Source organism: Homo sapiens, chromosome 4 (genome assembly GCF_000001405.40).
Source record: "Homo sapiens chromosome 4, GRCh38.p14 Primary Assembly".
Taxonomy (NCBI): domain Eukaryota; kingdom Metazoa; phylum Chordata; class Mammalia; order Primates; family Hominidae; genus Homo; species Homo sapiens.
This window is the reverse complement of record NC_000004.12, coordinates 38,551,867-38,574,410: the sequence shown is the minus strand read 5'-3', so window position 1 is coordinate 38,574,410 and position 22,544 is coordinate 38,551,867. Positions and strand designations below refer to the sequence as shown.

Genomic DNA, 22,544 nt, shown 5'->3' with positions numbered 1-22,544 from the left:
GAATGAATGAGGAATGTAAATGGTCCTGGGGTCAAAATAGCCATTGCAAAACATTTCTGTAGAGGAGATAAGTTTTTGGTTTCTTGTTTTGTGTGCTATTTATAAGGGGTGTAAAAACTCTTAATCTCAAGAATTTTATTTGAGGCTGGGTGTGGTGGCTCATGTCTGTAATCTCAGCACTTTGGGAGGCCAAGAGTTCAAGACCAGCCTAGTCAACATGGTGAAACCCCGTCTCTACTAAAAATACAAGAATTAGCTGGGCATGGTGGCACATGCCTGTGATCCCAGCTACTTGGGTGGCTGAGGCACGAGAATCGCTTGAACCCAGGAGGCGGAGGTGGCAGTGAGCCAAGATTGCGCTACTGCACTCCAGCCTGGGTGACAGAGTGAGATTGTCTCAAAATAAAAAAAAAAATTAAAAAAAAAGAATTTTATTTGAAACAATGGCTTGGTGAAAATTTTCCTTTAATTTTTTTTGTAAATAAAACACATTAAATATACATACATACATACATACATACATAATTTATTCACCAAACATTTACAGTCTAAGCTCTGAGTATACATTAGTAAGCTCAATGGAGAGAAAGCACATAATAAGAGAGTTCCAGCCCTTGCAGGGCTCTCAGGCTAAGAAAAGAGTCATGTTAGCCCAATTAGGAAAATAAGGCTATGCAGAATGGGATGAAGTGGTGCAAAGTGCTGAGGAATTTTCTTGGTGAAATGTGATTTTGAATAAGACATGGCAAGTTGCACAGAAAAGCACTTGCTATTAAGGTGACATGAGCATCTCTTAAAACAGTGATTAGGCTGGGCGCGGTGGCTCACGCCTGTAATCCCAACACTTTGGGAGGCCGAGTCGGGAGGATCACAAAGTCAGGAGATGGAGACGGTCCTGGCTAACACGGTGAAACCCCATCTCTACTAAAAATACAAAAAATTAGCCGGGCGTGGTGGTGTGCGCCTATAGTCCCAGCTGCTGGGGAGGCTGAGGCAGGAGAATGGCGTGAACCCGGGAGGCGGAGCTTGCAAGTGAGCGAGATTGCGCCACTGCACTCCAGCCTGGGCTACAGAGCGAGACTCCGTCTCAAAAAACAAAAGCAAAAACAGTGATTAGCGATTTCCTTTACATTGTCAGTTTAATGAGACAGGAGATTCCAATTTCAGCCTTTTTATAGTTTTTGGGAATGTATTGGGTTGTGGGTTCCACAGTGTACTTTCTCCTGGGAAAGTACACTTACCAACTGTCTTGAGGCAAGGTGTTGTTATTACTCTTTCAAATGAGACAAGAAATCACTAAATATTGTATCCCAAATGAGACTTAGCAAATAGTTCTCTGATATAACAGAGTTGCATAAACTTGCTGATGTTTTTCAAGAAACTGAATGAGTTCAGTTTGGCAATGTGAAGTTGCAATATCACCATGCTTACATTTGCTGATAGCATGCCAGCAATTAAGTTGAAACCTAACTTTATGACTCAAAGAGCAAAACATTAATTTTATCACACTCAAGCTTTGAGCAATAGTTACTGAGATACTAAGTTTAAAAAATAAGTAACATTGTTGAATTTCTTGTTAGATATTATAGATACATTTGAGAAACATCTTCCCAGTGAACACTTAAATTAACAGAGGAGATTGTTTGTAGAATTAAACTTTGAAATAAAACTTCCCATTGCTCAGACTTTCAACCTACTTACACTTTGGCACAAGTTTAATTTAAGACTATTTTGAATGTTCCAGGTGTAATTTAAACAGGTATGCTATTTAAAAAACAGTTACCAGTAATGAATCAGAATTTTCTCAATACTGTGCAAATAAAATACAGAAACAAAGTGAGTGTTAAAACTGGTATAAACCTGCAATCCCTTATCCTAAATTTAAAATTTTCACATTGGTCAAAATAGAATAAACTGTGTTTTTTTTTTCCTGTGCATCCTCCTTCCGGTGACAGCAGCTCGATTTTCCTTCGAGACCTGGATGTATGCAGGACCCACCATGCTCATTTGGGATACACCATTGTGTTGGCCACAGGTTCAGGGATGGACATGTGAGGCGGGCCAGGTCGCTGAGGCTTAGTTCTGGGACTGTGGTGGGCTTTGGTAGGAAAGGAAGATTGCCGCTTGTAAAGGTGATTCTAAGCCCAGCGTTCCTGGGGACTACCAAGGATGCTCATGTTGAGAATGAAGCAGCTACTATAGAGGGGACATGGAGCTGAGAAATCAGCTGAAGCTTTGATAATATTCTTTCAGCCCCACAATCAACTGATTCCTGAATCCCAGAACCCCTCCTGGATTTATATGGGTAATAAATCTTCTTCCTCCCTTCCCCCACTTTTTTTTTTCCTGAGTTAGTTTGAATTGAGTTTTCAGTCACTTGCACAGAGTGCAAAATCTTGACTCATGTGCAGACGATTAGAATTGTTCTCATTGGTTAACTTAAGAATAAGCAAGCTTAATAAAGTTAAGATTATAAAAGCACGTTTGTACTAATGAAACATCACCCGCTTGTTTTTGTTGTATACATTCATGTTTTACATAAGAATTACTTGAAACAAGCTCTGTTGAAATATGAAAATTAAAAAATAAATGTATAAAAATATAAAACCTCTACAACCCCCCGGCCTACAAATAAAGTCAAATCCACGTGTAGCAAGTCATTCCAGACCATTCGTAGTTGGTCCTGACCTCCTTTCCCTCCTCAGACCTTTCATTCCTTCCATGCCACATTTCTAGAACTCTGTCCAGCTTTCTCGGCTCCTCTGCTCTTCTGCTTCTTGCTCAGTGTCTGTTCTCTGCTCAAAACACCACCTTTTTCTGCTCTTTTTTTTCACTCATGCTTTAAGGTTCAGCTAAAGAGCACATCCTTGTTAAAGCCTTCCAGAGTCTTCCCATAGAGAATTCCTTGCTCTTCCTTCTGCTCAGCCATCCTCACAGTCCGACGTGTATTACTGCTATGTGGACTTAAGTGCATTCTGTCCAGTCTGGAGTCTCACAGGCAGGGCCTACATTTGGTTCATCTGTGTATCCCTCCTGCTTGAAGGCTGTCTGCCACATAGTAGATATTCAATGCATATTTGTCAAATGAAATTTCAATATGTGGCATCAGGTTGCTTATTCTCTTTTTTACTCTCCTACATGCTACAGGCAGGCTTTTCTCATCTAGGGTGTAAAAGAAGCCATATATACTCAGTAGTAGTTTTGTTGGCATTCACAGTCATCAAACACCATAAATGACCCATGTTCCAGCCATTCAAAGAGTCCCAGTCCAAGGGTGAACTTTTATTAGCTCTATTTATTGGCCCAAACATAAACTCCTTGGTTTCAATGGGACCTTGAGCTGAATATAGAAACGCACAGATCAAAGAGGCTCCAAGGTCATTCAGTATTGTGCACATTACCATTCTTTATCAATTCAAACTTCAGTTGAGTGGTTTAGTACTTTTTCCTTGGTAGTGTTTATTTATCACAAGAATAGGAGATGCTTACCAAGGACTTTACAAGTATTTCAAAACACATCCAGCTATCAGGAGGCTTGCTTTGTAACCAGCTACACTGGGCGTGTCACCTTCTTTGGGCATCACTCATGCCTCGTGTCACCTCTTTCAGGCTGCTTAATTGACTTGCGTGTTTTGGACCATCTGACTTGGTACTGACTTCCCATATTTCCTGAATAACTAATGATAGATATTATATTTATGAGGATTAACCACTCCCGATTTCAGTTGGACTTGTTGGACAACATTAAATGCTCTTAAACTGGCCTTCTCCTATTCCTGATGGACTTTCTTGGGGATTAAGCACTCCATCCCACTTTACCCTGTATCACAGTCATGGCATCCTCACACTCAGAAGAGAATTCGTGTCCAGAAGAGTTCATGCTTTTAACTGGAGGACAATTTGTGGTGGTGACCTAGTTCCCCCTGAGTGATTAGGAATGCTTTCTTTGTGAAAACCATCTGCAGAGAAGTGAAGATACAAACATTAGGTTTGTTGGGATGGGATAGGGTCAGTGTAGAGCTATCAAGTCTAAACTCCTGTCTTTGAGACTGAAATCTGCTGGATTGTTAGTGGGAGGAAGAAAGGGGTTGGCAAGAGAGAAGACACAGTTCCACGCCCTTGGGCAGTCAGTCCTTCTTGACTGGACTATACAAGCAAATTATAGGTTGGAGGACACTGTTTGGGACATGTACTGACATGTTAAAAAGAGATGGCTGCTCTGATTTTCCGGCAGTCAATCCCATCTTAAACCATTTTATTTGCAAGTTTACCTTCTATGTTGATTTGGTTGTCTATTGGTAGCCCTTTCTGGGCTTATGCAATTGCTTCTTCCTAGCAGTCAAGGCTGGGGAAACATCACAAGAGTTGTAAACTCAAAGGAGATTTTTTTTTAATGTGTTTGGTGTGGATGTGTTGCTTTTAGTGATTAAAACCTGAACAATTCAGATAACTTTCCTCCTATTCTCTTTAGATCTTTTTGTTATTTTCCTGATAATGTACAATTATACATATTTTAGAACATAGAATAAAAAAAGAAATATGATCATACGTGACTATTTTCTGATCCCTGGAATCCATGCAGGGACAGTATGTTGTTAAGGAAAGGGCAGCTTTGGAATCTGTTGAACCTGGGTTCAAATCCTATCACTGGATCCTTCTCAAGTGTAGAATAGAATGAGGCTATTATGAGGTTCAGAGAGAATATGTATTATAATACCCTATTCTTTTTTTTTTTTTTTTGAGACAGAGTCTCACTCTGTTGCTCAGGCTAGAGTGCAATGGCACGATCTTGGCTCATTGCAACCTCCACTTCCCAGGTTCAAGTGATTCTCCTGCCCTAGCCTCCCAAGTAGCTGGGATTACAGGTGCCCACCACCACACCCGGCTAATTTTTTTTTTTTATATTTAGTAGAGACGGGGTTTCACCATGTTGGCCAGGCTGGTTTTGAACTCCTGACCTCTAGTGATCTGCCCACCTCGGCCTCCCAAAGTGTTGGGATTACAGGCGTGAGCCACCGCACCTGGCCAATACCCAATTCTTGATAGTGTACTTTGTTGTACAATAGGAATATTTTAAAAGGTAAAACTAAGTGGAGAGTATTTTTCCTGAACCTTTGGTTAGTATATATAACATGCAAGAATAGAATAAACTGCTTACTATTCCCAGAGATTCTGCCATTTCTGTAAGAGGTGGTGGTGGGTAACATCTTCTTTGCTTGCAGACTTCCTCTTATCACATTTTGATCTTGAGATTGGTGGATGTCTTCCTGTATCCTCAAAGGACTTATGGTTTAGTGGACACTGAGAGTAGCATCTACTTGTTCCTGCAAAGATTTGAAACAAGGGGCTTATTGGCCATCTCTCTCAAAAGGCCCTGGCCAGAGAGAAGGAGAAAGAGGAAGTCAAGAGATTTGGGAGTTGGAAAGAGATGAGTGCTCTCTGTATCTGCCTGGCAGAGTAAAAGCTCCTAAGTGCAGAAAACATAATGACTGCCTTTGTTTGCTGGAAGGTTGCTGGTGTCTTTGATTTTCAAGTTTCAGCCTGCTTTATAGAAGCAGGCAGAATGCGAGAGATACTAGATTCCCTTGAGTCCAGCAATTCGTAGTGTCGTGATATTAAAAAAATATTTTAATTCATTAGCATGCAAATTCAGGAGGAAAATAAGGAATTGTTGCATAAATGCATGATATTTTTAAACCTGATAGATCAAAAGCATTATAACTTTGTGAGAAAAACTACAGAATGTGAAACATATTGTTATTAACCCAGCAAAGTCATCTTAATCATGTAGTGTGCATTAAAACTATTGCAGATATTTATCTTCTCCCACCTCCACATTTCCGTTAAAAGTGGGAGAGGGTGAAAAAAGTTTGTTTCTTCCCTTCTATGCATTAAATATATTTTAGTAGCTACCTCTGTATAATTTATTATCATATAGGGGATAAAAGTATGAATGCTTTCTCAATTTGAATGCCAACTCCACCTTTTATTAACAAACCGCTTAACCTCTCAATGACTGGTCTCTTATAAAACAGGGTTGTTATGAGAATTAAATAAGTGAATATATATGAAATGCTTGGCAAGTAAGCATTATGTACATGTGATACTTCTTCCTCTTTTTTTTACATCATCAATTTATCCTCACAAAATTTTTGTGAAGAAGATGAAGCAGGGGTTATTAAAGTCCTTGTGGAGAATGTAAAGCTCAAAATGACAGAGTAGCTACTTGGGGATCAAACATCTAGCTACCTACAAAAGTGGCACTCAAATTGAGGCATCCCTGGCTTGCCACCATATCTCCTCTTATTTCAGGAAATTGTACACTTCTACTTGGTCTTCTCCTGAATGCTCGGTGGGGTGAATTAAGCACAACTCTTGATTGAGTAGGCCTTCTTCCAATATTCATTTATTGATTGAATAGAACAACTAAGAAGTGGGTATTGCAGAAAGTAATATTTGGCTAACATTCCTTGATATAGTATCACAAACATTTAAGCATTTTATAGAACTTTTCCCCCCAGAGTAACCAAATGTTTGCTATTATTACTCCTTCAGTTAGATGGGATAAAGACAATTGGTGCTTAAGCCATTATTATGCCAAATTCAATAACTAAGTGTGAACAGGTCCACATGCCTGATGATATAACACAAAAGTCATATTACCGATGATGTAGTCATTGAAAATGAAACATTTACACAACCGAAAGTATGATTAATCATACAAGAGATCTATTTCCATATCTTTTGTCCACAACATGGCTATCACTACTTTTAATCAAAACACTGAAGCCTGAATCACTCTGGTAGGGCTTGAACAACAGCAACTATGACAGGGAACAAAACCTAGGAAGAAACCCCTTCATTTCGTTTATGTGTCTACTGGAAGCTCCAGGAGTGGGAGACGGGGAGCAGCTAATGTCGATGCATGTGGAAGAGAGATAGGTGGTGAAATTGACCGTAACATTGGGGAGCAAAGCTGAGAAAAAAGGCTACCGGGGCAAAGTGCTTGTTAGTAATAGACAAACGTTGCTATAAGGAAGTTTGTTATATTTCTCTCAAGTTTTAAAAAATATTTCTAAGCCAATTTCACATAATATATAACTGAGAGAAACCTTAGGACTTATGTGCCGTATTGTTTCACGTTTTTTGGTGAAGTAGGCAAAGGAAACTCAGGGAGGTCGAGTAATTCTTCCAATGTCACACAGCAAGCTAACAAGCTTGGTAATTGCCAAGTCAACAGTAGGTTACCAAGCTAGCTTGATAATTGCCAAGTCAAAAGTAGGGCTTTTGACTCTTTTCATTCAGCAGTAGCTCCCTACTAAATCCTGTGCCTGTTACATCATTAGCACTCCACAAATATTTGGTGAATAAAAGAACAAATGGCTCCCTGTCTCTTGTGGCTTTTGTCTGTGGACCATTTTTGTACTCCAAATTGGTGAAAAGGCTAAAGAGATTGCAATGTGCTTTGTGGTTGGCCATGGAGTTTGAGAAAGCAAAGTTTCTAGTCTTGGCACAAATTCAGAGATATTGGAAAAATGATCCCACTTCTTTTTACTTTTGCATTTGCCAAGGGGGGTTAATTCAGCAGAGATGTGGCTGATGAGAGGGTCAGGTTCTAAAGTCAGCCCCAAGATGAAAATCACAGGTTATCAAAACTACTCATGCAACTCTCTTAGGGAGGTGTCATGTCAGAGACTGGCACACTGTCTCTCAGCCAGTTTTCCCTCCATCATTGGAAAGCAGGGCTGTTTTCTTGTTTGAGTATCAGTGAAGCAGTTTGCTTGAATTTTGGGGTCATGTATATGAGAAATGTGTATTTTAAGCAAGAGACTGCATGGTGAGTTATCTATGAGCATGCAGTCAGTTCAGGCACAATAGATTCATTTCTCATGTTCACTCTGGGGCACATGCTTTTTAAGACCAACATTCATTCTCTCTCTCTCTCTCTCTGTCTCGTATATAATTGAACTTACAAAAGTTGAGTGCATGTAAGATTCAACTTCACTGTTCTACTTAGTCCACGAGGAAGACTGAACAAAACACTAATACAGGTACCCTAGAATCAAAATCTACATGGAAAGTATTTATTTTATTTTGTGGAGCTTCCTAGATAAAGATATGATTGCTGAACTTTAGAAGTAGATAAATTCCTTGGCAGTGCTATGATTTTTTTTTCTTTTTGCTGTGGTGGCTTAGAAAGAAAAAGGAAAATAAAATGTTTTAGTATGGATATGGCTGGAAAAAGGAGAATAAATTACCTGACTACTGAATTTAGAGAAATTTAAATGCAAAAGGAAGTCGTTTTCCAACACCCCTCCCCTCTGGTAAAAAAGCAAACAAAACAAAACAAAACCAAACAACCTTGGTTTACTCAGACTTACCCTTCGAGACTTGGTGCAGGCATCAAAACCTTCTATGGCTACCAATATCCTCAATAGGCTGTTTGTTCTTTCTGCACCTCTCTCTCTTCCCTTTTCCCTTTTCATCCTACACGTCTCTACTCTCAAATCTCCTTTCCCACTCCTGTTTATATTGGAGTCTCACAGCGGACACAGACCATGGTCTCATGGAGGCCTTTGTAAGAAGTTACTAAAGTTACTAAAACTAATGTGTTCCTACAGACATTATGAAGGAGGACTTCGGACAGAGACAGCAAGTTGATTTCCTGGAGCAATACCTAGGGAATTATTCTTTTGGCTCTGAGAGGATGATATTTTAAGTTGTTACATATTTGCTGATCTTCAGGAGATTGCTGGAACCATCCTGCATGTACAGGAAGCTTGGGCTCTTGGCCCAAATTGGCTCAGGGTCTAAATATTTGGAAGATGAATACTTGGAAATGCATTTAAACATTTAAAGCATTTTATTTATTTTTCCAGTGAGTCTCATTGTTAGTGCAGTACAACTTTGCAGCAAGACTGTATCTGCTGAAGACATGAACCTTGTGGACAAGCCCAGGCCTGGGCTCCACCTCAGGTCTTGGCGGGAAGCCAGAGGTGCATGTCTATTGGCTAATGTCCACACTCCTGAAGTGGGTTATTATTACAATCCCTCACCTTAAACGCCTGCATTCTAAAGTCATGCTAAGGGTCTGACCCAAATGGAACACTGGAACACACACAGACACACGCACGCGCGCGCACACACACACACACTTTTCAAACCAAATGTTGCACTATTTCCTTTCTTTTGTCAGTGCTGAATCTATATTATTATTGTCAGCTGTTAACTCTACACTGATGATGCACTGTGGTCAGTTTCCCTCTCTAGCCTTCCAGCCAAGGTATCTTTTGGCTGCTATATGCTTAGAGGAGGCAAACTAATATGAATGTATTAGATTATGTAAAACATAATTAGGGAGGGAAATTTGCTGTAAAAGCATCCTATGTATTTATAGAACTCAGAGGAAATTATAAGCAATGTGGGGGGAGATTTCATGTTCTTTAGACTCACAGATAAACTCTAGGACCTAAGTGATTGGAACTATTTCCCTATCGCAATCAAATTATCCAGATAATTACCAAATATCTACTTTGCTATGCTACAGAGTCACAAACGCACATTGTCTCAATGGCACGGGAGTAAGCATCAGCTTCATTTCTAATAGGTGAAGTAGAAAAGGGGGCCGGGCGGAGGGGCTCATGTCTGTAATCCCAGCACTTTGGGAGGCCAAGGCGGGAGGATCACGAAGTCAGGAGATCGAGACCATCCTGGCTAACATGGTGAAACCCCGTCTCTACTAAAAATACAAAAAATGAGCCGGGCGTGGTGGCGGATTCCTGTAGTCCCAGCTACTCGGGAGGCTGAGGCAGGAGAATGGCGTGAACCCGGGAGGCGGAGCTTGCAGTGAGCTGAGATCGCGCCACTGCACTCCAGCCTGGGCAACAGAGCGAGACTCCGTCTCAAAAAAAAAAAAAGAAAAGAAAAGGGGTGCGCTGGGGTGGGGGGAGTATGGGAGTACACCTGGCCTTGGTAATTGACACTGTAAGGTGTCTTAACAACAATGATAACAACCATCTCAATAGAATTTGGGATGTGGTAGCAACAGTAAAAATTATATTAAACTGGGCCCCATGCCCAGACTATCAGCCTCAAATAAACAAAGTACAAGAAAAACACTTCAAGAGGGACTAACTTGTGAATCAAGGAAGCTAAATAAGCCAGAGACGTGCTCGCCGGAGGAGACAATGCTTTCACCTCCTTGAAAAAGCTTTTGCCCAACCTAATTAAAATGCCCCATCTAATTAAAAATCTAACCATAATCCCACTGACAGCCCCTAGCTCCACCCCTTACCATTGTCACGATGCTCAGTTGAGCCCCCTTAGCTGAAAAATTATTGAAATAGAGTGGATTTGAGTGCGCAGGCATAATTCCCAGCCTACCACAGAGTTGGAGGCAAAGACGCTTAGTGATTTGCACAGTGGTTGGTGGTGTCTCACTCAGCAATGATGTATGACACGGATGAGTGCAGAGCGGCCATCTGCTGTTGAGGAGGGTGACAGAAAAGTCTGTTCTACTGTGGCAGATGACTCTCCCAGTGCTGGGCAGCTGGCATAGAGTGGACAAAGTTGGACAGGGCAAGTGATGCCCAGCAACTCTCTGGGGCAATAACTCAAGGTCTTCTCCCTTCTGTGGCTATATTCATCCCTGTCTTCTTCACACACACACACACATGCATAATAGAGTTGATATGATAAAATACAATTTGGAACATGCAGAAGAGGGAAGAAGCACACGCCTACCCAAAGGGTTAAAGTTGCTGGTCTGGAGCATGAGATGTATCTCTGAGTTTCCTAGTAGCCTGGGCAAAAAGAGAAAACCTGATAAATCATATGGCACATGTTACCTGGGAAAAAAAGCAAAAACAGGTTCCTAGAAGAAATAAAGTTTTTCTTAACAACCTTTCTAAAATCTGGGGTTTTTTTTTTTTTGGTTTTGGTTTTTTTACTTTTGACTTAATAGAAGGGAGAAATTGAATTTCTCAGAGTGTGTATAACAAAATGTCAAACTGCTAGAGTGCTTGGCCTATTGATAGGGAGAAGACTAGAACATGGCTTGCTCAATCATTAATGAGAAACAGGTAGCATTCAGCAGTACCCTGGGACTGGCTGATTGGATCTTACCTCTTCAGAACTAATAGAACATGATTTTTACCTTTTTATTTTTGCATATCTGTATTTTCTGAAACTTCCACAGTGAACATGTATGACATTTGTCATGCAAATATAGCTGGTTCTGGACTGTGTGATGTGAGATCCTCACCCTTCCTTCCCCTGTTCTGTATTGTGGGAGGGGCTTGACCCCTCCCGGCTGCAGTTCTCAGGGCCCTGTGTTAGCTGGCTTCTAGCTGAGTTTGGCTAATGGGAGGCTCTGGTGGGAGTTTGATGAGCAGGAGGAAGGAAGACGTCAGGGTATTTTTCCCTCTCCCTCTGTCCTGGGGTAGTATCTCTGGCAGCTGCTCCCTCTCTTCCACGACTCCAGTTTGCACAGGAAGTCTGTCATGGTTCCAGCTTCCTCTGGGTAATCCCAGTCCCTGGGCTCTGCTAGCATCACCTCCTCCCTTTGTCCCTCCAGCCTAGGAGTGGCGGCAACTTCCTGCTGCTGCTGGTCTCTGGATTGCCTCACCATCCCTTGTTTGGCTTTTAAGTTTCTTTCATCTCATTGCATTAACTTTCCTCTGTTTTAAATATTCGGAATGATTTCTGTCTTCCTGGTTGGGCTCTGACACAAAGAGACAAAAATGTATTTGAAACAAAAATGAATGGGGCAAAAGAATCTAGAGGAACATGAGTTAGAGAAATAACCAAAAAAGCAGAAGACTTCACAGATCATGGCAGCACACACAAAGAAATGTCCAGTGTTGGTGTGCAGCAGCTGGAAAAGACATCTGGTCACCTGAGGGCCTTTTAAGGCACATTTATAGGCAAAAATAGCAGCTTTACTTGGAGTCATAAGATCTACAAGTGAAGAACAACAACATGTAATGTATAGGAAAAAAACCCCTAGGATTTAGAGCCATAAGCTATGAATTCAGGTCCTGGCTTGTGGTGGATTGTGGTTTACTCTCCAGCATCCATTCTACCCCTCCCACTTGGTATAGCATCTGCAAGGCTTGGATGCTACTGGTCCAACCTTTAGGCCTCTAGGTTGTAGCCTTAATTGCCATGGGCATTGGCTCATGCATGGATATATACCCTAGGCCTGTTTTGGCATTCCCTGGCCACTGGTGCAAGAAAAGGGAAGTCTATGACTCTTGTTTGATAATTGGAGAAAGAAATATCCTTTCTCCTTCTGGACAGTGTGGTGGGTCCTGAGACTGCTTCAGTATTTTGCTATTAATAGAGAGGATGAGAATAAAGCTGGTACAAAAAGAAGGGTAAATCCAAGACAATTGAAATAAAACAGAGCTGAATTTCTGATCAAGCTATGTCTGAAGCCCACCATACCACTGGACTTTTTCTGTAACATATGTTTATACATTCCCATTACTGTTTAGAAAACATGGTTTGATTTGGAGTTTCTGTTACTTGCAACAAATATACAACGATGTCATTTTATTGGCTGTGTGTCCTTGGGTCCTGTTAGTCTGTTTTTGCATTGTTATAAAGAAACACTGGAGACTGGATAATTTATAAAGAAAAGAGATTTAATTGGCTCACACTTCTTCAGGCTGTATGGGAAGCATAGCTCTGGCATCAGCTTCTGGAGGGGCCTCAGGAAGCTTTCCATCCTGGTGGAAGGCAAAGCAGGAGCAGGCAGTTCACATGGCAAAAGTGGCAGCAAGATGATCAGCCTAAAAAAAAAAGAAAGCAGGAGCAAGAGAGAGAGTGTGGGTGGGGAGGTGCCACACACTTTTAAACAACCAGATCTCGTGAGAACTCACTTACAATTGGGAAGACAGCACCAAGCCACGAGGGATCTGCCCCATGATGCAAATCCCACCAGTCTCCACCTCCAACATTGGGGATTACATCCAACATGAGATGTGGGTGGGGACAAATATACAAACTATATCCATCAGCCACTTCGCCTTTCTGATCCTCAGTTTCCTCATCTATAAAATGGGAATAGTAAGATAATGTACCTTAGAACATTTTGTGAAGATCAACTGAAGTAATAAATGAGATGATGCTTTGTAAATTATAAGCAGCAACTTCAATCTTAGGATTACACATATAACTTATTTCCATTGTTAATGCATTTTTATGTCTCTCCTATATAGAAATAATTCATTTTATCAAGCATGCAGTTCTATAATACCTACTTCATTGCTGTGTCGTATTTATCAAGATTAATCAGCAATAACCACTATTTCACTCTGTACAGCTCTAAATAACTTACTTTTGAAGTCCCAGGTGACTATGCAAGCTTCAAAGGATTTACCTCAAAACTCTTAGTCAAGTGGAAACAGATTGAGTAACCCTTTGTGTGATCACTCATAACTCACTTGTAAAATGTGTGGTTTTCGCTGCCATCTGGAGCAGCCTGTGAAAGTGAGTGTGTGACTTTTCTCTCACATCGTGAAAGTTCAGGCGTGTCCAGAAAGGACCAACTGGTCAGTTCTGCCCTTGCCTCTTCTTGAGGTTGCTGCCCTGGGGTGGTTTGGTGACCTGGGAGAGTGGTTTAGGCATGAACCTTTCAAAGAGTAGACAACTAAGCACCATCAGGAAAACAGCATACAATGTTTAGCTTTTTAAAAAGACAAATATCTCACTATAATAACAAATTATTAAGAGTAATTAATTTACCCAGCCTGATTAGATAAGGTCTAAAAACACTGCAGAAGTATGCAGTATGTGTTTCTCTTCTAGTCATCGGTGCATATTAGGCCAAGTGTACTAGGCTGCGCGTGGGCTTACTAACTGCAGCAGATCAGGACAGACGGAGGATGACTGGGGCTGGAGCAGGCCCGGGGGCGTGGTGATCCTTTCCACCAAGCACTGTTATTCTACCTCCCAAGCAGACTTCCCATCTTTCCTTCTCTGTCTTGCCACTCAGCCAGGTCAGGTCCCCATCACAGATCACCTGTGCTAGCCTCTCTGCCTTCAACCTCAGCCTCCTCACTTTGCCTCTATTTACCCTCAACCCTGTTAATACTGGTTGTCTCTTAGAATTGCACCATGTTGTCCTTGCCCCCTCTCCCTACCATAAAACATTTCACTCGTTCCCTACAGCTCGTCCCATAGAGCCCAGACTCCTTAGCATGACAAGGCCTGTGGGATCTGACCCTCATTAGCCACCGACCCAGCCCCTCTGCCATCATCCCTGCACATACTCCCCATGTACCTTCCAAATCAAATCATAGACCTGGCACACAGCTCTGTAAGGTTGATGGTTATGACATTTTTGTGATCATAAAAATGACTTGAGCTTGTTTAAAATGCAGATTCCTCAGCCACATCCTCACAAGAGTATGATCCAGCATGTCAAGGCTGGAAATCTGAAATTTCTTAAGAACGTTGACAAAGTCAGTGCAGGTGGTCTTTGGGCCATCTTTGGAGAAACTTTGGGTGATCCCCCTCATCACGATGTAGTCCACTTTTTTCCTTTCACATTTGCCTCCACCTAGAACTCCTTAAGGGTGAGCATCAGGCTGTGTTCAGCTTTGTTTTCCCAGGACCTAGCACAGCTCCGCACACACCAATTTGTCCTACTGTGTTGATTACGTGGGAAAATGAATCACAGCAGAGCCGGTATCTTGAGGCCTTGGTAGGGACGGGAGCAGGCTGGGGCCAGGGGACCCAGCACCGGGGTTGGCTGGCCCAGAGAGCAGCAGTTCAGGAAATGTTAGAGAACCAAGTGCCTTCTGGGAGTGGTAGCAAAACCCTGGTCAAAGGTCAAAGGAGGATCCTATATGGTGGTGGGTGGTGGGGGAGGGGACGGAAGTTAACAAGAGGCCCCTCAAGGCAGTGGCTCATGCACAAGGAAGAAGGAACCAGTTAGCATAAGAGAAGCCCAGAAGCACTGCACTCTACAATCAGCATCAGACTGCAGAAAAGGGTGACTAGGTACTGAGTCCCAGATCGTTGCTCTAGAGAATAGCAGTTGCGAATTTTGTCTGCATATTAGATTTGTTTTTGAAACCAAATGAACAGGTGAATGTCAGATTTCCAAGTTCCAACCCAGAATAACTGAATGAGACTGGATATGTGTAGAGGGGATTTCAGAATCTTTATACCAGGAGCTCTGAAACTCTATCATTATGTGTCCAAGTATCATCCTCTCACCCCTAATTAATGCTGGTTGTTACCCAGTGGGCCATTTCTATTTTAAAAAATCACATTTTGGCAGGGATTACTGGCTCATACCTGTAATCTGAACACTTTGGGAGGCCGAGGCTGGTGGATTGCTTGAGGGCAGGTGTTCGAGACCAGCCTCTACAAAAAAATTGTAGAGGTCAACATAGTGAGACTCTGTCTCTACAAAAAAATTTTTAAAAATTTAGTCAGGTGTGATGGTGTGCAACTGTAGTGCTAGCTACTGAGGAGGCTGAAGTAAGAGGATTGCTTGAACTCAGGAGTTCGAGGCTACAGTGAGCTGTGATGGCACCACTGCATTCCAGCCTAAGTGACAAAGTGAGACCCTGTTTCAAAAAAAAAATACATATCACATTTGGGATTTTTTTTTTTGGCTCGGGAAAATATTTATTATTATTATTTCTTTGCTTATTTCTTCTCCTCTGTCTCTCTAGTCTCTTTGACTGTGACTTCTATTAGATGAATGTTTGCATTTCTGGGTCTAACTTTTATGTCTCCAAACTTTTGCTATAGTATTTCCATTTCTTTTTCCTTTAATATAGTGCTCTGGAACAATTTCTCAGCACACTCTGCAGTTATAGTCTATATTCTTCAGTTATGTCTATTCTATTACTCAACACATCTATTAAGATTTTTAGTTTGATGATTGTATTTTTAATTTCTAAGATATCTAAATGCTTGTCATCATAACAGCCTGTTCTTGCTTCAGGAATATGATAGCATCTTTTAATTCTCTAGAATGTTCAATATTTGGTATACCCTCAAAGTTTTCATCTCTTTGTTTTATTTACTCTGTTTCTTCAGGTGTTGGTTCTGAGATTTGTTTAGTTTTATTTTCCTTTCGTGATGTTGGTTTTCTGTAACTATTTGGTGGTTCTAGATTTTGTATTCATTTTTGTGATTGACTATTTTGTTTTCATCTGCATCAGGGCCAGCAAACTGCAGCCCATGGCTGCTGCCTGTTTTGAAAATAAAGTTTTTTTGGAACACAGTCACACTCATTCACATATTCCCATGTCTCCAATTGTGCTACCATGGCAAAGCTGAATGAACCATAAAGCCTAAAATATTGACTCTCCGCCCCTTACAGAAAAAGTTTGCCAACCTGCCTGGATCTAACCAACCATTTTCTTACAGGAAACAACTCACAGAGGAAGATGGTAAGCACTGCTTGGCTGATTGATACATCAGTTAGAAGAGAATAGGAGATATTCTATAAAACAAAAGACTTAGCTTCTTCATGAATGTATGGCATCAAAATAAAAAACAAAAAAGCAGAAATTCATGTGGATTAAGACATATTTAATAGAAACATCAGCCAAAATCGATGTGTGACCTTTGCTTGGATCCTAATTTAAACAGGTCAACCACAAAGGCAAATTTTTGAAACAATGAGAACAAATTGAATATGAACTGGTGTTTCTAATTTTTATGGATATGAAACCACATTACAACCTAGTAGCATAAAATAACAGCCATTATGCTCACAGGTCCTGTGAGTCAGGAATTTGGACAGGCCACATGGAGATGTCTTCCCTGCTCCATAATATTGGGAGCCTCAACTGGGAGACTTAAATGGCTCAGCTCTGCTGGGAATGCTGATTGGACACCTACATGCAGCCTCTCCATGTGACTGGGCTTCTCACAGCATGCCGCCTGGATTCTGAGAGAAACCATCTTGAGAGGAGACTTCTGGAGGGTAAACATCCCAAGAGACCCAGTGGAGGTTAGGTGGCTTCCTGACCTCCCCTTGGAAATCAGACAGCACCTCAAATCTCACATTCTATTGTTCTGGCCAGTGACTAAGCCCACCAGAAGTCAAGAGGAGGGGAGTTAGACCTCACCTTTTTATCTCAGAGTGGCAAGTTCACTTGCAGAAGATAGGAGATGCTGCTGCAAACATTTTTGGAAGGTACAATCTGCCACAACTGCTTATTAGATGATATTGATAACTTGTCATTGGAGGGAAGTTTGTGTGATAATTTTCAACATCCTACAGGCCTACTTTTTGGCACAGATCAGAGGAGAGGAGCGACCTACCAGCTTGGCAACAGGATTTGGTTATAATTTGGAGTGTGTGTGCATGTGTGTGTGTATGAAAGAGAGAGATAGAGAGATCATTTTTTAAAATTTCTTTTTGTGTTAGAGAGTCACACTAAGTATGAGTAAAATGAAATGATATCTGAGATTTCCCAATCCTACTGAAACTATTCTAAAAGATAGAGAAAGAGGGAATTCTCCCTAAATCATTCTATGAAGCCAGTCTCGCCCTCATACCAAAACCAGGAAGGACACAACAAAAAAAAGGAAACTACAAACCAATATCCCTGATGAACATAGATGTAAAAATCTTCCACAAAATACTAGCTGGCCGAATCCAACAGCATATCAAAAAGATAATACACCATGATCAAGTGAGTTTCATACCAGGGATGCAGGGATGGTTTAACATATGCAAGTCAATAAATATGATACACCAAAAAAACAGAATTAAAAACAAAAATCATATCATAATCTCAATAGATATAGAAAAAACATTTGATAAAATCCAGCATCCCTTTATGATTAAAACCCTTAGCAAAATCAGCATAGGAGGGACATACTTTAAGGTAATAAAAGACATCTATGACAAACCCACAGCCAACACTATACTGAACAAGGAAAAGTTGAAAGCATTCCCCTTGAGAACTGGAAGAAGATGAGGATGACCACTTTCACCACTTCTATTCAACATAGCACTGGAGGTTCTAGCCAGAGCAATCAGACGAGAAGGAAATCAAGGACATCCAAATTGGTAAAGAGGAAGTCAAATTGCTGCTGTTTGCCAATGATATGATTGTATAGCTAGAAAACCCTAAAGACTCATCCAAAAAGCTCCTAGATCTGATAAATGAATTCAATAAAGTTTCAGGATACAAAATCAATGTACACAAATCAGTAGCACTGCTATGCACCAAAAGCAACCAAACTGAGAATCAAATCAAGAACTCAACCCCTTTTACAAAAACTGCAAAACAAAACAAAACAAAACAAAACCTAGGAATATACCTAACGAAAGAGGTGAAAGATCTCTACAAGGAAAACTACAGAATACTGCTGAAAGAAATCATAAAGAACACAAACAAATGGAGACACATCCCATGCTAATGGATGGGTAAAATCAATATTGTGAAAATGACCATACTGCCAAAAGCAATCTATAAATTCAAAGCAATTCCCTTCAAAATACCATCATCATTCTTCCCAGAACTAGAAAAAACAATCCAATCCCACAATTCATATAAAACAAACAAACAAAAAGCCAACATAGCCAAAGTGAGACTAAGCAAAAAGAACAAATCTGGATGTATCACATTACCCAACTTCAAACTATACTACAAGGCTATAGTTATCAAAACAGCATGGTACTGGTATAAAAACAGGCACATAGACCAATGGAATAAATAGAGAACCCAGAAATAAAGCCAAATACTTACAGCCAACTGATCTTTGACAAAGCACAAAAAACATAAAGTGGGGAAAGGACACCCTATTCAACAAATGGTGCTGGGATAATTGACAAGCCACATATATAAGAGTAAATCTGGGTCCGCATTTCTCACCTTATACAAAAATCAATTCAAGATGGATCAAAGACTTAAATGAAACCATAAATATTCTAGAAGATAACATAGGAAAAAGTCTTCTAGACATTGGCTTAGGCAAAGATTTTGTGAACAAGAACCCAAAAGCAAATGCAACAAGAACAAAGATAAATAGATGGGGCTTAACTAAACTAAAACACTTCTGCACAGCAAAAGAAATAATCAGCAGAGTAAACAGACAACCCACAGAGTGGGAGAAAAATCTTCACAAACTATACATCTGACAAAGGACTAATATCCAGAATCTACAAGGAACTCAAACAAATCATCAAGAAAAAAAAAACATATAATCCCATCAAAAAGTGGGCTAAAGACATGAATAGACGATTTTCAAAAGAAGATATACAAATGGCCAACAAACATATGAAAAAATGCTCAACATCACTAATTATCAGGGAAATGCAAATCAAAACCACAATGTGATACCACCTTACTCTTGCAAGAATGGCCATAATTTAAAAACCAAAGAATAATAGATGTTGGCATGGATGTGATGAAAAGGGAACACTTTTACACTGCTGGTGGGAATGTAAACTAGTACAACCACTATGGAAAACAGTCTGAAGATTCCTTAAAGAACCAAAAGTAGAACCACCAATTGATCCAGCAATCCCACTGCTGGGTATCTACCCAGAGGAAAAGAAGTCATTATATGAAAAAGACACTTGCACATGCATGTTTACAGCAGCACAATTCACAATTGCAAAAATATGGAAGCAGCCTAAATGCCCATCAACAAACGAATGGATAAAGGATATGTGAGATATATATAGATATAGATATAGATATAGATATAGATATACCATAGAATACTACTCAGCCATAAAAAGGAATGAAATAATGGCATTTATAGGAACCTGAATGGAGTTGGAGACCATTATTCTAAGTGAAGTAACTCAGGAATAGAAAATCAAATATTGTATGTTCTCACTTATAAGTGGGAGCTAAGCTATGAGAACGCAAAGGCATAGAGTGATATAATAGACTCTGGGGACTGAAGGGAGGAGTGGGAGAGGGGTGAGGGATAAAAGAGTACACATAGGGTACAGTGTACACTGCTTGGGTGATGGGTTCACCAAAATCTCAGAAATCACCACTAAATAACTTATTCATGTAACCAAATACCACCTGCTCCCCCAAAACCTATTGAAATAATTTTAAAAATGAATGAAAATTTTAAAAAGCAGACAAAATACTCTGGAAGAAAATGAAAGGTTGTAATGGTGATATATATAAAACAAGAACGGCAGAATGCTGATAGTTGTTGAAGTTACTGGATGAAGATTGGTTGCTTCATAATATTATGTTTAATTTGCATATGTTTGAAATTTTCCTATGTAGAAAAAAAGAAAGAAAAAGCTGGTTTTGCCTGCTTCTGGATGTTCTTTGCTTTTAACCTCTGGAATTGTGAGTGAGTCAGAGTCCTGGCAAGGGGTAGGGAATGCCAGGAGCTTAACCTGGAGGTTAGGGGCTCCCTGTTTCTTCTGGATGTTGCCAAAGCCCCAGGCGCTTCCCTTCTGTGTACCCCCAAGTGCTACAGTTCCTGTTCCAGCCTGAGGTGAACAAGCCTACAGGCCTACTTCTTGGTGTACCTAGGCAGAGGGGAGGAACCTACCAGCTTGGCAACCAGGAATGGATTATTACAATGGCCCCATGGCTATCCATGACTCCCTCCTGCTCTTTGTATCTGCCACCTCTGTGTTTGGGGGACACCAGGAGCCACTTCTACATTGGCACAATGTATCTCTGAACATGCTTTAGGATATAATTTCTTTTGTCAATGTGGTCTTCTCTGCTTTCTCTATTTTAAGGATGACTTAAAATATCTGATCTGATGATAGCTTGCTCCCCTTTTCATTGTGTTATGAATTCCATCTTACCAACTGATATGGTTTGGCTCAGGGTCCCCACCCAAATCTCATCTCGAATTATAATCTCCATGTGTTGAGGGAGGCACCTGGTGGGAGGTGACTGGATTATGGGGGCAGTTTCCCCCATGCTGTTCTGTGATAGTGAGTGAGTTCTCACAAGATCTGATGGTTTTATAAGCAGCAGTTTCATTTGTGTGCTCTCTCTCTCCTTTTTTTTTTTTTTTTTGAAATAGAGTCCCACTCTGTTGCCTAACCTGGAGTGCAGTGACGTGATCTCAGCTCACTGCAACCTCTGACTACTTGGTTCAAGCAATTGCTCCTGCCTTAGCCTCCAGAGTAGTGGGGATTACAGGAATGAGCCACCACGCCCAGCTAATTTTTGTATTTTTAGTAGAGATGGGGTTTCACCATGTTGGGCAGGCTTGTCTTGAACTCCTGGCCTTAAGTGATCTGCCTGTCTTGGTTTCCCAAAGTGCTGGGATTACCGGCATGAGCCACCATGCCCAGTGTGTGCCCTCTCTCTCTGTCTCTCTCTCTCTCTCCTGCTGCAGTGGGAAGACATGCCTTGCTTCTCTTTTGACTTCATCGTAAAAAGTTTCCTGAGGCCTCCCCAGCCATGCAGAACTGTGAGTCAATTAAACCTCTTTCCCTTCTAAATTACCTAGTCTCTGGTAGTATCTTTATAGCAGTGTGAAAACGGACTAATATACCAACAATAAAAAAAATTGTTTCCTGTTATTTTTAGAGATATTGGTTGGAACAGAAAAAATATTCATGAGTGCTTAGCCATTTTGACTCAATACCCTCATGCTTTTTCAGTCCATTATAATCAAGCAATATGTATCCAACTTTGCACCTTCTGAGTTTTTAAAAATCTATATTAGAATTTACATATTTTTAATTTTATTAAAAACTGCTTGCAGTAAAAATTATTAATGCTTACATGATATATCTTATATGTATGCTATAATTTACAACTTCTGAACGTTTACATTTAGAGCATTTGTAACTTGATATTAAGCATATTTACTGGGATAAGTGTCTGTTTTAATATTTAGTCTCAATATTAATTTTGTTTCTTTAGGATGGGTTGTAAAGTGTGGAATTATAATGAAAGAGCTTGATCTAAAAAATGACCACTGATACATATTGCCAAAATTATTTGCAAAGAATTTCTGTCCACATATGGCTTTCTTCCCCATACCCAGCAATGTAGGAGTCTCCATTTAATCTCTCCTTTGGAACATTATTGGAACTGTTTGTTTTTGTTTTGTTTGTTTGTTTGGAGACAGAGTCTCACTCTGTTGCCCAGGCTAGAGTGCAGTGGCATGATCTCGGCTCACTGAAACCTCCACCTCCCGGGTTCAAACGATTCTCCTGCCTCCCAAGTAGCTGGGATTACAGGCATGCGCCACAACGCCTGACTCATTTTTTTTTTTTTGCTTCTTTAGTAGAGATGGGGTATTGCCATGTTGGCCAGGCTGGTCTCGAACTCCTGACCTCAAGTGATCTGCCCGCCTCAGCCTTCCAAAGTGCTGGGATTATAGGCATGAGCCAACGTGCCCGGCCTAGAGCTGTTTTCATCTTTACTAATTTGATAAACAGTACATGATATTTTATCCTCTCATGCTTTCCTATTATTTTTCCAAATGAACTTCAAAATAATTTTACTAAATACAAAGAAAGCAAAAGGGAAGAAGGAAAGAAAAAGAAAATGAAAGAATTTCCATTAGGATTTTTATTGGATTAAAAAATCCTACATTGCTTAGAA

The 22,544-nt window shown here is 40.5% G+C and overlaps 1 long non-coding RNA gene across 1 annotated transcript, besides 2 other annotated features; it reads right to left on the bottom strand.

The window, feature by feature from the left end:
- Positions 1–450: 450 nt before the first annotated feature.
- Positions 451–10,408, bottom strand: LINC02278 (long intergenic non-protein coding RNA 2278). The gene is made up of 3 exons (NR_146991.1): positions 10,295–10,408; positions 5,159–5,324; positions 451–3,959 (listed from the first exon to the last, which is right to left on the bottom strand). It is a non-coding gene; the product is annotated as a long intergenic non-protein coding RNA 2278 (long non-coding RNA).
- Positions 13,212–13,301: an enhancer, noted in NCBI's record as "active region_21439". NCBI's record gives its function as "activates an Ori minimal core promoter by ATAC-STARR-seq in GM12878 lymphoblastoid cells {active_cell/tissue: GM12878}" and the evidence as "EXISTENCE:reporter gene assay evidence [ECO:0000049][PMID:35858748]".
- Positions 13,432–13,511: an enhancer, noted in NCBI's record as "active region_21438". NCBI's record gives its function as "activates an Ori minimal core promoter by ATAC-STARR-seq in GM12878 lymphoblastoid cells {active_cell/tissue: GM12878}" and the evidence as "EXISTENCE:reporter gene assay evidence [ECO:0000049][PMID:35858748]".